Source organism: Homo sapiens, chromosome 9, assembly GCF_000001405.40.
Source record: "Homo sapiens chromosome 9, GRCh38.p14 Primary Assembly".
NCBI lineage: Eukaryota > Metazoa > Chordata > Mammalia > Primates > Hominidae > Homo > Homo sapiens.
Genome location: NC_000009.12, coordinates 105,402,776 through 105,418,608, shown reverse-complemented (window position 1 = coordinate 105,418,608; position 15,833 = coordinate 105,402,776). Strand labels below are relative to the sequence as shown.

The 15,833-nt window shown below is 40.5% G+C and overlaps 1 protein-coding gene across 2 annotated transcripts in view, besides 1 other annotated feature; it reads right to left on the bottom strand.

The window, feature by feature from the left end:
- Positions 1-15,833, bottom strand: part of SLC44A1 (solute carrier family 44 member 1) — a 193,854-nt gene that overhangs the window by 19,896 nt on the left and 158,125 nt on the right. The gene's annotated exons all lie outside the window — the stretch shown is intronic.
- Positions 12,935-13,135: a silencer, noted in NCBI's record as "peak7314 fragment used in MPRA reporter construct". NCBI's record gives its function as "represses an SCP1 promoter by STARR-seq MPRAs in K562 erythroleukemia cells {active_cell/tissue: K562}" and the evidence as "EXISTENCE:reporter gene assay evidence [ECO:0000049][PMID:32103011]".

The following is a 15,833-nucleotide window of genomic DNA, read 5'->3' as shown; positions in this document are numbered from 1 at the left end:
ACAGGGGAGTGGGAAGGGTGGGGGCTAGTTAATGACTGTCAGACTCCATACCCAAAACAGCTCAAAATCTTTACAAAGACATCAAGACAGAAAATCTGTAAGCTAAGAAGTGTGATTTTATTTAATTAACCTGTTCCAGAGGTAAGCCCCATAGGACAACACTGAACAGCATGATCTAATGGCCAATTACTACTGTTGCAGTGTGAACTGAAGGCTGTGAGCTTCCTGGTCTTTTAAAAATTATTTACTTCTAATTATCTTTTTCTTTCTTTCTTTTTTTTTTTTTTTTTTTTTGAGACGGAGTTTTGCTCTTGTTGCCCAGGCTGGAGTGCAATGGCGCAATCTCGGCTCGCTGCAACCTCCGCTTCCCAGGTTCAAGAGATTCTCCTGCCTCAGCCTCCAGAGTAGCTGGGATTACAGGCATGCACCACTACACCCGACTAATTTTTTGTATTTTTAGTAGAGATGGAGTTTCACCATGGCCAGGCTGGTCTTGAACTCCTGACCTCAGGTGATCCGCCCGCCTCGGCCTCCCAGAGTACTGGGATTACAGGCGTGAGCCACCGCACCCAGCCTATTATCATTATTTTTAGAGACAGAGTCTCATTCTGTTGGCTAGACTGGACTGTAGTGGTACAATCATAGTTCACTGTAGCCTCAAACTCCTGGGCTCAAGCAAAACTCCTGCCTCAGTCCTCTGAGTAGCTGGGACTATAGGCACATGCCACCATACCTGGCTAATTAAATTGTTTTTTTTTTTTTTTTTTTTGTAGGGATGAGATCTTGCTATGTTGCCCAGGCTGGTCTCAAACTCCTGACTACAAATGATCCTCCAGCTTCAGCCTCCTGAGTAGCTGGGATTACAGGTATAAGCCACCATGCCTGGCTGCTTCCTGGCCTTCTGATGGCTCACTGATATCAAGGGCAAGATAGAAAAAGAATGGAAAGGACTAGCATTTATTAAGAATCTGCTGTGTGTTGGGCACTGGTTTCAGGATATAATCACACTTTTCACTCAGTCTTCAAGAGAAGGCATTATTAGCTCCTTTTGCCAGGTAAAGAAAGAGAAGTTAAGGAACTTGGCAAGGTGATGGGGTGGGCAAGATCCAAACTCAAGTCCATCAGATTCCAAATTCCATGCTTTTCCACCAGACCATGATAAGTGCATAAAGACATGCATGGTATGGCTGAAGACCAAGCAGGAGGGAGGAGGGTGAAACAAGGTTTCTTTATCCTTCTTCCATGAGGGAAGGTCCTGATCATGTGTACGACCACAAAGTGAGCATCTTACCCTGTTGTGAAAGGCAACATGGTAATGTATCCATTATCACTTATTATTTTAAAAGCATGTGAAATTATGCAGAAAACAATGAATTGGTTTATTTCATGCCTCAGGTTCTAGGAACCAGTGCTCAGTGTTTGGCCCCAGTAAGGACACCGATGGGATTTTCTGGGGTCTGTGTGAGGGGAATGCTGTGTGTGAGTCCCTGTTAGGACAAGGAGAGGAGGCAGTGCAGCAGCTCACACATAAAAGGCACAGAAATTCAGCTCTGTTAAATATCTACATTAAAACTAAAACCAAAACCAAAACCTTTTACAGCACACAGGTCAAATGTAATTACCAGAATGCTAAGTTACTTTCCAAAGGGACTGGGACTTTTTGTGTTTAATCTGCATGAAATTCTCAATTAATAGATATAATCTTAGGCCTTTTGACTCAGTTTTGACCACTGTCAGATAAATAGGAGGTTCTATACTTTGTGCATGGATAGTCAAGTGGGACAAACAACCTGATAAAAAGCAAATCTTAAATTTAAACTATTCTGTGGTTATTCACCACCTACAGGATAAAATCTAACCTTCTTGGCAGGTGGGTGAGACGTGGCCTGACTCCTTGGCCTCATCTCTTATCATTTCCAGCCTCACACTTTATAAGAACATATTATTTGGAGGTTACTGCTTTCCAAGTGCATATGCCGCAAATGCTATTTCACACCTTTATGCCTTAGCACACACCAGTCTCTTTTCTGGGAACTTCAGATCTGGCGATGTCTGTGGAGGATTTGGAAGATCACACTTTTCCCCTAGGCCTCAATTTATTCCTTGACCCACCCCAATGGAATGAATTGTTGCCCCCACCCCCAACTACTGTGACACATTATACACACTTCTATTGCTACACTGACCACACCTATCCCCTCTCCATCCCTCAACTGTGAGCCTCCCTGAGAGGAATACTGGCATATAGTAGGTGCTCAGGAAAGTAGAAGAACCAATTTTTCTCTAAGATATCATGGTACTTTTTTTTTTTTTTATCTTGCCTGGAGTCTTTGATGTCAGATAAGAATTAGCTTCTTCTTATTTCCATAAAACAATAACAGAGAACAAATTCCCTAGTCAAAAAGTTCAGTAGGCTGGGTGCGGTGGCTCATGCCTGTAATCCCGGCACTTTGGGAGGCCAAGATGGGTGGATCTTTTGAGGTCAGGAGTTCTAGACCAGCCTGGCCAACATGGTGAAACCTCTACTAAAAATATAAAAACTAGCTGGGCATGGTGGTGGGCACCTATAGTCTCAGCTACTTGGGAGGCTGACGTAGGAGAATCGCTGGAACCCGGGAGGTGGAGGTTGCAGCGAGCCGACATCACGCCACTGCACTTCAACCTGGGCGACAGAGCAAGATACTATCTCAAAAAAAAAAAAAAAAAAAAAAATTCAGTCAATCCTTTCAGAGAATATCCAAAAGTTGATCTTTTTTCAAATGAACGTAAAACGGGAACATTCATTCTAAGAAACATGTAAGATAATCGAAGGACAATATTCTTCAAGTATATATTGTTTCTACCTGAAAGCTAGTGAAAAGAGGATACACATATAAAAGTTAGTGTCCCATATCTGGGGCTTTTGGTATGTTAATTACCGCTGTTAGAATGCAAACACTAAATGCCTTTAGTATTGGAGGCCCCATTAGAGAAAACACCTGTGTAGTTTCAGGGGTTGTTAATTGTCACTCTCAACCAGCAGGTGTCGCTAGAGACAAGCACATGTACTATGGCTGCCCTCTCAAGGACGACCACCCCAAAATCCTGCTCCAGCTGGAACTCCTGCCTCCCTCTAAGGTTCCGTCCCTCCGTGGAAACTTCAGCTGGAACAGCATGCGTGTCCATAGTTAGCAAAGTTTATTATACAGCAGAATCCTCTGGACTGGGTTGGGGTTTGTTAAAATGCAGATTTCTGTCTGCTGGCTGCAGAGATTCTGATTCAGCAGGTAGAAGTGAGACCCTGAGTAATTTCTGTTTTAAACGCTGCCTTTTTTACCTTCCTTGCACCCCCTATTGTGATGCCTTTTGAGAAACACTGATTTCTCAAAACTGTGGGCTTTGAGAAATCTTTGAACTGTGGGCTGTTCAAAATCACCTACTCAGAAACAATCAGGCTGCCAAAGGATTCATTTGTTGATTCACTCAATAAACCTCTATTGTGCCCTTAATAACTTCCCAGTTACCCTTGGCTACCTTCACAAAGTTGTGCAGCTCATCCTCCTATCTCAGGCTTGGGATCAACCATAGAACCCAGTAAAGTCTTGACCTTTCCTTTCTTATGTTTGATGGGTGAGTATCCCACCAAAGAACCTGGCTTCCACTCTGAGAGGAAAAAAAAATCTCCTTTTCTCATCAAGAGCATTCATATATTTACAGAAACTCTGCCAATAAACAGATCCCTAATGGTTAGTTTATGGGACATAAACATTCCAAAGTGGTGAAAATGCATCTTATTCCTATGGTTTTTTTTTCTTTTTTGTTCTAGCAGGGTCTCGCCATGTTGCCCAGGCTGGAGTGCAGTGGCTATTCACAGGTGTGTTCATCACGTACTACAGCCTAGAACTCCTGGGCTCAAGAGATCTTCCTGCCTTAGCCTTTTGAGTAGCTGGCACTGCAGTTGTGCACCACGGTGCCCAGACTACTATGATTTTAAACACAGATAAAAATAATAAATCTATTACTATCTAAAAATTAAAATGCTGCTATGTTTTACGGCAATATTAACTTTGTAAATCCAAGATAAATAAAAATTCTAGTCGTAAAAAAAGGGATAAATTAGATTGCTACAAATAAATTACAACAAAAATTTCATTAGAAACTTAAAATTGCTATAACATGTTTACCCAGGGGGTGCTGAGGGAGCATGCATTCTTAGGAACTTTAATGAAAATCATCGATCCAAATGCAGACTACAGCTAAAAAACACTAACTGTCGGCTGGGCGTGGTGGCTCACGCCTATAATCCCAGCACTTTGGGAGGCCGAGGCGGGCGGATCACGAGATCAGGAGATAGAGACCATCCTGGCTAACACAGTGAAACCCCATCTCTACTACAAAAAATTAGCCAGGCATGGTGGGCGTGCCTGTAATCCCAGCTACTTGGGAGGCTGAGGCAGGAAAATTGCTCGAACCCGGGAGGCAGAGGTTGCAGTGAGCCAAGATCGTGCCACTGCACTCCAGCCTGGGCGACAGAGCAAGACTCTGTCTCAAAAAAACAAAAATACAAAAAAAAAAAAAACCAAACACTAACTGTCCAGCGAAAGCTTAGCATGCCCTGAGTCCATCTATTTTTTTTTTTAACTTTCTGACTCTTAGAAAAATGTTTGCACTGGAATAGACTTTAAAGGTCATTGAATTAGCCTTTCACTCTGTGCTCAATACTGCTTTACAACATCCCAGCTGCAAAAGTACCACCCAGCCTCTACACACATTCCTTCGTAGTCAGGGGGATCACGTCTTCTCCTGGGGTTAAGTCCATCTTGGTAGTGTTCCAGTTTTTAGGAAGTCTTCCTCACATTCTGTCTGATAGGCAGGAAAAGCCAGTGACTCCACTAGGTGGCCTTTCCCCTCCTAGGACTTAGCATAGTGCCTGGATTAGGACTGCATCTCAGCTGCATTTAACAGAAACCTATTATAGTGGCTTAAACAAGAAAGGGATTCATTCTTCTCATGTAACAGTAAGCCCAGAAGACATCAAGCCCAACTGTGGAGAAATCAGGCAAGAATGCTTTCTGGGAACCAGGCTCCTTCTATCTTTTGGTTCTGCCATCTTTGGTCTGTGGTTCTGTTGGTGTTTGTAATATGTCTTTTGTTCTTTCAAGTAGGATCACATCTGCATTCCAGACAGGCCAGAGAAGGGGAAAACCAGGAAGATGGGCGGCACCTATATTGGGAAGGCGAAATTTTCTTGGAAATTGCCAGTATTCTTCAGCTTATATCTCATTGGGCAGAACTATGTCATACGACCACTTCAAGCTTCAGGGAAGTATGGAAAGGTGAGTATTTTAGTAAGGCATTTTGCTAACCAGAATGATATCTGGGTTATATTCATGAAAAAGATGGGCAGAAGAGCAATAGCAGGGCAATCAGCACTCACTGCCACAGCCTGATAGTAATAGGTGATTAACATATGTTAATTGACTGATGAAACAGAAGTCTCTTTTTCCAACCATTAGAACCCTTTAGGGGCTCAGGACATGACTATAGACACCATTTTTTCTACAACATCCCTTTAGATATTTGAATATAGTAATCATTGCTTTTCCCTTTCTCTACCCCAAGATGTCTCTTTTCCCAGTAGATATCTTCTCTAGGCTTGTCTCTGAAAACACTCTCATTCATTTATATTCCAGGTGTGGATTGACCTATAAAAAGTAATGCAGAGTAGGCAGGGCGTGGTGACTCATGCCTGTAATCCTAGAACTTTGGGAGGCCGAGGCGGGTGGATCATCTGAGGCAGGAGTTCGAGATCAGCCTGGCCAACATGGTGAAAACCGGTCTCTACTAAAAATACAAAAAAATTAGCCGGGCGTGGTGGCAGGTGTCTGTAATCCTAGCTACTCGGGAGGCTGAGGCAGGAGAATCGCTAGAACCCAGGGGGCGGAGGTTGCAGTGAGCTGAGATGGCGCCACTGCACTCCAGCCTGGGTGACAGAGTGAGACTCCATCTCAAAAAAAAAAAGTAATGCAGTCATTTCCTTTCTCCTGCTGTATATCATGTGGTCGCTATTATCAAATAGCTACCACAAAAGCACATATTGTGCCCAGACCTTGGTTTCCAAATACCAGTTTCCATTAAAAGGAACTAGGGCTCACTTGAAGACTTGGCTGATTACAGAGTTGAAACCAGGAAAGCATAAGATGAGCTTGGAACATCTGGTTGCGTCAGTGAATAAGGAAGTACTCAAAGAATGATGGGGACAGATCAAAAGTACAGGAGCCAGCTTGAATGGGCTCCCATTGGCTAAATCTGAGACAATGTGGGCATAAAAATAAATGAGGATAACAGAAAAAAGTAACAATCTGGGATTTGATATTTATTTATTTGATGAATAATCAATATTTATTCAACAAATAAATATGTATTTGATGACTAATTAAAACGTTATTTAACATATATATTATTTGATGAATAAATATTTATTTGATGAAAAACTAAGTGGGTGAGAAGAGATTTTCCTTACAGTAGAACACCAGCTAATAAATATAGGAAGAATGATGAAATTAGAAAATCATCATTATATGAAAACACCAGTAATAGCTGTTTCAGAGAAGAATGTGAATAGATAATGTGAAAAGTTGATGAGAAATAGGACTTTTACATAGTCTCAAAATATGTCTCCACAAGATACTTATTAATTACAAAGGGAGAAACAGTACATTTACATTGGAGAGACCAGGAAGATCCACCTTAGCCAAATGATCAAAGTTAGCACACAGTAATGGGACAAACGAGATCATGTGCCTCCTGATATGATGCACTGAGAAGGACACAGTTATGCCTTCTGTGGTATTCCTGCCAAAAAGGCATACCTTGGATCTAATCATGAGGAAGCTTTAGACAAACCGAAATTGAAGGTCATTCTAGAAAATAAATGGCCTGACTCTTCAAATACATCAAGGTCATGAATGACAACAAAAGACTGTGCAATTGCTCCAAGTTAAAAGAGATTAAAGAGACATGAAAATGAAATGCAATGTGTGATCCTAGATTGGATTGTTGACCAGAAAAAAAAAAAGCTTTTTTCCATAAAGAACATTAGTGGGACAACTGTTAAAATTTAAAGAAGGTCTGTAAAATGCACACGCACACACACACACACACACACACACACACATACACAGAGAGAGACCAAGAGAGATGGAGACAGAGAGAAATGGAGACAGAGCAAGAGAGAGGGAGGGAGAGGTAGGAAAAGGGAAGCAGGGGAAGGGGAAGGAGAAGGGAAGAAGGATAGAGGAGTGGAAATGAGGAGAAAAAGCAAATGCATTAAAATACTAACATTTAGGGAATGTAGATGAAGGGTATATATAAAAATTCTTTGAACTATTCTTCTAACTTTTCTGTATGTCTTTATTTTTATTCTGGTAAAATATATATAACATAAAATTTACCATTTTAACCATTTTAAAGTGTACAATTCAGTGGTATTTAGTTCATCCACAAAGTTTTGCACCCATCACCACTATACAGTTCCAGAATATTTTCATTACCCAAAAAGGAAACCGTATTTCCAATAAGCAGTAATTCCCAATTTCCCCAGTGCCTGATAAGCATGAATGTGCTTTCTGTTTCTATGGATTTTGCCTATTTTAGATATTTCATATACATGGAATCATACAATATGTGGCCATTTGTGTCTGGCTTTTTCCCCTTAGCATCATGTTTTCAAGGTTCATCCATGTTGTTGCATGTATGAGTACCTCATTTCTTTTTACAGCTGAGTAGTATTTTGTTGTATGGATATACAACATTTTGCTTATCATTCATCAGCTGATGGACATTAGTTATTTCTACTTTTTGGTTATCGTGAATAATGCTACTATGAACATTTGTGAGCAAGTTTTTCTTTGAACACCTGTTTTCAATCATTTGGGATATATACCTGCATCCCATGGTAATTCTATGTTTAACTTATCGAGAAACTGCCAAACTGTTTTCCAAGTGGTGGCACCATTTTACATTCTCACCAGCAATGTATGAGTGTTCTCGTCAACACTTCTTATTGTCTATTTGTTTGAGTATAGTCATTCTAGTGGGTTTGAAGTGGTATCTCCTTGTGGTTTTGATTTGCAATTCCCTAATGACATTGAGCATCTCTTTATGTGCTTCATGGCCATTTTTAAACTTCTTTGAAGAAATAGCTCTTCAAGTCCTTTGCTCGTTATGGGTTGTTTATTTTTTTGTTGTTAAGTAGTAAGAGTTGTTCACATATTCTGGACAGTAGACCTTTATCAGATACATGATTTGCAAATATTTTCTCCCATTTTGTGGGTTGTCTTTTTGTACTTTTGATTATGTCCCTTGAGGCAAAAATTTTCCAATTTTGATGAAGTCCAATTTATCTATTTTTCTTTCATTGCTTGTGTTTTTGGTTTCATAGCCAAGAAACAATGGCCCAATCCAAGGTCATGAAGATTTACTCCTATGAGTTCTTCTAAGAGGTTTAGGGTTTTAGCTCTTATATTTAGGTCTATTTTGAGGTAATTTACTTGTTATTTTCATAACATTTTGAGTCAATTTCCTTGTTATTTATTTCTAATTTCATTCTATTTTGACCTAGAATATACTTTATATGATTTAAATCTTTTAAAATTTACTGTGATTTGTTTTGTGGCCTAACATGGTTTAGCCTTGAGAATGATCCATGTGCACTTCAGAAGAATAGTGTTGAATAAAGTGCTCTACAGATGTCTATTATGTCTAGTTGGTGTATGATGCTCTTCAAGTCTTCTATTTTCTTCTTGATCTTCTGTCTAGTTATTCTATCCATTTTGAAAATGAAATATTGAAGTCTCAACTATTATTGTTGATTTGTCTATTTCTCCATTTAATTCTGTTAGTTTCTGTTTCGTGTACTGTGGATTCTCTTATTAGATGCACATATGCTTATTTTTTATTTTGTCACCAAGGCTGGAGTGCAGTGGCGTGATCATAGCTCACTGCAACCTCGACCTCCTGGGCTCAAGGGATCTTCCCACCTTAGCCTCCTGAGTAGCTAGAACTACCAGCACACGCCACTACACCCGACTAATTTTAAAACTTTTTGTAGAGACAGGGTCTTGTTTTGTTGCTGAGGCTGGTCTCGAACACCTAGGCTCAAGTGACCCTCCCATTTTGGCCTCCCAAAGTGTTGGGATTACAAGGGTGAGCCACTGCACTTGGCCCACATATGTTTATAATTGCTATATGTTATTGATGCATTGTTCCTTTTATGACTATAAAATGTCCTCTCTAGTAACAATTTTTGTCTTACTGGCTGTTTTGTCTGATATTTCTATAGCTACTCCAGTTCTCTTTTGATGACTATTTGCATGGAATATCTTTTTCCATCTTTTCACTTTCATCCTATTTGTGTCTTTGGACGTAAATTGAGTCTCTTGCAGATATTATATAGTTGGAGTCTGTTTTTTAATCTATGCCACTAACTCTGCCTTTTAACTGAAGAGTTTAATCCATTTACATTTTAAAAAACTGGTAAGTAAGGCCTTGCTTCTGCCATTTTGTTGTTTATTTCCTTTATATCATATCTGTGTCTTCTCTTATGTTTAATTGATTTTTCTAGTGTATTATTTTGATTCTCATTTCCTTTTATGAATGTATATTTTTAGTTATTTTGTTAATGTTACCTTGGGGGTTATAATTAACATCCTAAATTTATAATAATTTAGTTTGAATTAATACCAATTTAGCTTAAATAATGTACAAACACTGTGTTCCTATGTAGCTCCACCTTCTCCCTTTATGTTGTTATTGTCATACATTATATCTTTATACATTGTGTGTTCATTCAGATACATTTATAATTATTGTTTTATGCATTTGCCTTTTAAATCATGTAGAAAAAAAGTGAGTGACAGGCCGGGTGCGGTGGCTCACGCCTGTAATCCCAGCACTTTGGGAAGCCGAGGTGGGTGGATCACCTGAGGTCAGGAGTTCGAGACCAGCCTGGGCAACATGGTAAAACTCTGTCTCTACTAAAAAAGACAAAAATTAGCCAGATGTGGTGGCATGCACCTGTAGTCCCAGCTACTCAGGAGGCTGAGGCAGGAGAATCACTTGAACCCAGGAGGTGGAGGTTGCAGTGAGCTGAGATCATGCCACTACACTCAGCCTGAGCAACAGAGCAAGACTCCGTCTCAAATACAACAACAACAACAACAACAAATGAGTGACAAACAAAAAATACAATAATACTAGCTTTTATGTTTACCTATGTAGTTTCCTTACTGATGTTTTTATTTTTTATTTTTTTGTATAGCTAGAGTTACTTGTGTTCTTTCATTTCTTCCTGAATAATTTCCCTTAGCATTTCTCATAGGGCAGGTCTACTAGAAGCAAACTTCCTCAACTTTTGTTTGTATGAGAATGTCTTGATTTCTTTCAGTTTTTTGTTTTTATTTTATTTTATTTTTTGAGACGGAATCTCAGTCTGTCGCCCAGGCTGGAGTGCAGTGGCGAGATCTCGGCTCACAGCAGCCTCCGCCTCCCAGGTTCAAGCAATTCTCCTGCCTGAGCTGGGATTACAGGCGCCTACCACTATGCCAGCTAATTTTTGTATCTTTAGTATAGACAGGGTTTCACCATGTTGGCCAGGCTGGTCTCCAACTCCTGACCTCAGGTGATCCACCTGCCTCGGCCTCTCAAAGTGCTGGGATTACAGGTGTGAGCCATCGTGCCTGGCCTTATTTTTATTTTTTGAGACAGAGTCTTGGTCTGTTGTCCAGGCTGGAGTGCAGTGGCATGATCTCAGCTCACTGTAATCTCCACCTCCCAGGTTCAAGTGATTCTCCTGCTTCAGCCTCCCAAGTAGCTGGGATTACAGACATGTGCCATCACGCCCAGCTAATTTTTGTATTTTTAGTATAGACAAGGCTTCCTCATGTTGGCCAGGCTGGTCTTGAACTCCTGACCTCAGGTAATCCGCCTGCCTCAGCCTCCCAAAGTGCTGAGATTACAGTGGGATTACAGGTGTGAGCCACTGTGCCTGGCCTTCTTTCAGTTTTGGTGGAGAATTTTATTGAATACAGGATTCTTGATTAACAATTGTTTTTCTTTCAGGGTTACTATACATCATCCCTCATTCTGATAAATCAGGGAATAATCTTATTAAGGATCACTTATATGTAGTGAGCTGCTTCCCTCTTGCTGCACTCAATATTTTCTATGTTTCTTTGTCAACAATTTGGTTATAATCTGTTTGAGTGTGGATCTCTTTAGGTTTATTTTATGTGGAGTTTGTCGAGCTTCTTAGATGTGCATTCATGTCTTTATCACTTTTGAGGAGTTTTCAACCATTATTTCTTCAAGTATTTTTTTCTTTATAGCCCAGACCTTATAAGACAATATTTCTTCAAATATTCTTTCTGCTCCTTTCTTTCTCTCTTCTCTTTCTGGGACTCCCATTCTGTGTATGTTGGTATGCTTGAGGGTATCCCACAGGTCTCCTAGGCTCTGTTCAGTTTTCTTCACTCTTTTCTTTTTCTGCTCCTTAGACTGAATAATCTCAGTTGATCTATCTTCAAATTTGGTGATTCTTTCTTCTGCCTGCTCAAATCTGCTACTGAACCCCTCTTAGTGAATTTTTGATATCAGTTATTTTCAACTCCAGGTTTTCTATTTGGTTCCCTTTTTTATCATTTCTATATTTTTATTGATGTCTTCTATTAGGTAAAACATTGTTCTCTTGATTTTCTTTAGTTCTTTGTCCTTCACTTTCTTTGTGTCTTTGAGCATATTTAAGACAGTTGATTGAAAGTCTCTGTTTAGTAAGTCAAATATCTGGGCTTCTTCAAAGACAGTTTCTTTTTAAAAAAATTTTTTTTAAAGAGATGAAGTCTTGCTCTGTCACCCGGGCTGGAGTGCAGTGGCTCAATCTCAGCTCACTGCGGCCTTGAACTCGTGGGCTCAAGGAAGCCTCCCACCTCAGCCTCCTGAGTAGGTGGGACTACAGATGCACGCCACCATGTTCGGCTACTTTTTCTATTTTTTGGTAGACATGGGGTCTCACTATGTTGCCCAGGCTGGTCTTGAACTCCTGGCCTCAAGCAATCCTCCTGCCTCAGCCTCCCAAGGTATTGAGATTATAGGTGTGAGCCACCACGTCTGGCCAGTTTCTGTTAATTTCTACTGTTAATAGGCTGTACTTTCTTATTTCTTTGTGTACCTTGTAATTTCTTGTTGTTGAAAACTGGACATTTTGCATATTATAATGTGGCAACTCTGGAAATCAGATTCTTCCTCCTCCCTAGGGTTTGTAGTTGCTGGCTTATTGTGGGTTATCGTTGTTTATTTGTTTAATGACTTTTCTGAACTATGTATTGTAGAGACTGTATTCTTTGGTGTGTGTGTGTGTGGCCACTGAAGTCTCTGTTTTGTTAGTTTATGGTCAGCTAGTGATTTGACAGAGTTTTCCTTAAATACCTGGAGCCACAAAAAAAAAGAGATCACCTTCCAGTCTTTGCACATTCATTCTTTATGGGGGCACTGCTTAACCCTTAGCAAGACTGTTTACAACTCTGCTCTAGCCTTTACTTCCTGCTTGCATCGAAAGGTTAGCCAGAAGCGAACGTTTGTGGTCTTCTCAGGTCCTTCCTGTGTCAAGCCCTGGGCATGTGTGTGGCCTTGGACATTTCCTAGTATATGCAGGAGCTTTTGAAAGCTGTTATTCCTCCGTGTATGTCCTTTTCTAGCCTCTTCTTTCCCAGGCTTCCATCTGTCTGCCGTTTGCCGCATCTGTTATTCTTCACCACAGGTTGCTGCAGCTAGTATATAAGCCTTTAAGTGCCATTGACAAATGTCACTTGGGAGATCACTTCAACCCTAAGAAGCTTCTGAGGCATGTGACACAAAGATAAACCCCTGAGTTGATCATTCAGGGAGCCACCAGACAATTCAAAACACACAACCACAATTTTTTTTTTGAGAACAAGGTCTAACCACACATTGCTTACTTGGGCATTGGCAAGCCACATCAGAAACATGAGCCACCACTTTCACAGATGCTGCTAAGCTGGTGAGTGGAGATGGTATGCAGATAAGTTAACATGCCTCAATGCTCTTACTGAAATGTCTTTATTTAGCATTTGCCTAGGTGTGTAAGTTCTTTATTAGATTCTAGAATTTGGTAAAAATTGATTGGACAGTTTTTGTCAATTTGATCATCGTTTTTGTGGAATGATGGAGTTTTGGAATTTCCTGCTCTGCCATTTCAATCATATCATCCCACCATTAGCTTTTTTTTTTTTTTTAAATGGAGTCTTGCTCTGTCGCCCAGGCTGGAGTGCAGTGGCACATTCTCGGCTCACTGCAACCTCCGCCTCCCCGATTCAAGAGATTCTCCTGCCTCAGCCTCCCGAGTAGCTGGGATTGCAGGTGCCCGCCATCACACCCAGCTAATTTTTTGTATTTTTAGTAGAGATGTAGTTTCACCATGTTGCCCAGGCTGGTTTCAAACTCCTCACCTCAAGTGATCCACCCGCCTTGGCCTCCCAAAGTCCTAGGATTACAGATGTGAGCCACCGCGCCTAGCCACCATTAGCTTTTATACATAAAACTAGCGTGGAGACTCTAGCTTGTTCTGTTCACTTTTATATTCTTGGCTTCTAACACGTAGTAGGTACTCATTAAATATCTGTTAGCTAATGAATGAGTGAAATGAAAAAATTATCATTGTCTTACACAATCCCTATAAAACATGACTATTCCCATTTTACAAAGGAAGATCCTGAGCCTCAAAAAGCTTTTGTGGCTTTCGCAGGTTACCCAGCTTCTACAGCAAGAGGCAGAGACAGATTCAAATCTATATCCATAGTGCCAAACCTTTGTTCTCTTCCTTATACGATGCTGTCTCCTTTAGGCATCAGAAAATAAGGAGATAACAACTCTGTTGTATTTAACTGCTTTCGAAGCATATTCCTATCCCCTAAGTTCATTTATTTATCATCGTAGTCCTACAGCACAGGCTGAGCATATAACATTTTATAGTCAAGAAAATAGGCAGAGAGGACAAACAACCCATGACTGGACTGGAGGCACTGGCAATAAATTCAAATACTCCAAATCCTACATCAGTGCTTTTTCTGTTATTTTATCTTGTCTCTTTATGAAAGTAAATACGGCTTCATCTTAAAGTGGTTCTTTCCAGGTGAAAAGTAAATTATTTTCCAATGCAGCATTGCATGCAAACCAGGACCTGGAGATTCACGCTTCACTCCTGTCTTTCTTTCACTTGGCCCCTTACACCAACCAATCATCCGTTTTTGATGATTCTATCCCTCCATTAGCTTTTAAATATATCCCTTTCTCTCCATTCTTTTTTTTTTTTTTTTTTTTTTGAGATGAGTCCTGCTCTGTCACCCAGGCTGGAGTGCAGTGGCACAATCTTAGCTCACTGCAACCTCCGCCTCCCAGGTTCAAGCGATTCTCCTGCCTTTTCTCTCCATTCTTATTGCTAGTGCCCTAGTTGGAATTCTCATTCTGAATCACATGGTATATTTACAATGGTCTCTTCACTTTGTTTTCCTGGCCCAGAAGCAACTCACCCCATGCCATACTCCCCACTGTTGTCAGGGTAATTTTTCCCCTGAAAGGCAAATATCTCCAAACATTCCTTTGGTTAAAATCTTTCAGCAAGTCCTCATTTTCTGCAGCATAAAATCAAGACCGTTAGGGTGGCCTGCAAGACCCTCGAGATCTGATCCCTACTGACCGCTCCAATTTCATGTCCCCACACCTACACTTCAGTACAGATTCACAGACACATCATCATTTCTTCACACACGCTATTCCTCCTTGGAACACTCTCTACTTCCCTTTCCCCAAAGGCTTATTTGCTTATTACAGCCCCACCTCCCTGGCCCTCCCACCTTCAGGTGGGTCTCCCTGCTACTCCTGAGTTAACTCTGTTAGAGTGGCTGGCACACTAGATTACAATCATCTGCTTACTCCTTTGCTTCCTAAATATGGTGTGAGTTTTCAGAGAGCAGAGGCTGGGTCTCTTATTCTGGTATTCTTAGCTAATGTAGAACTCAGTGAATGTATCCGAAATAAATGAAGACTTATCTTTCTGTTTTATTTACACCCAAGAACCATGTCGTGTAACTCATAGTAGAAACAGATCTAAATAAGGTATGAGGTAACAACTTCAGTGAAAGCATCAGGAAATTACATGCTGGGACTTCCCCAGCTTAGCATCCCCAAATCCCAATTTAAGAGCCATATGTGGGTTATTTTTGCTTCCACAGTAAACTGAAGAATGCATAAACCTTCTTCTACCAGAGAATAAAATTCTATCGATCTTTGTGTTTTCCTTTCCTATCAGGTTGCTAAGAAAGCTGAAAGAATTTAAGGCTTCAATGCACTGTGACCATATTAGTCCCAGAGTCCAGCATATTTGTTTCTTCCTGTTTATGTCTTTGCTTTTATATTTTTAGTTTAATAATCTTTTCGGGCTGGGCATGGTGGCTCACACCTGTAATCTCAGCACTTTGGGAGTCTGAGTTGGGAAGATTGCTTGAATCCAGGAGTTGGAGACCAGCCTGGGCAACAAAGCGAGACCCTGCCTTTCCAAAAAAAAAAAAAAAAAAAAAAAAAGCTGGGTGTGAAGGTGCATGCCTGTAGTCTCAGCTATTCTAGAGGCTGAGGTGGGAGGATCGCTTGAGCTATGGAGTTTGAGGCTGCAGTGAGCTATGATGGGATCACTGCACTCCAGCCTGGGGTTAAAAAAAATCTTTTTGTATATATGCCTTCTTGGAAAACAAAAGCAGCATAAATATATAAACAGACACTAAAAA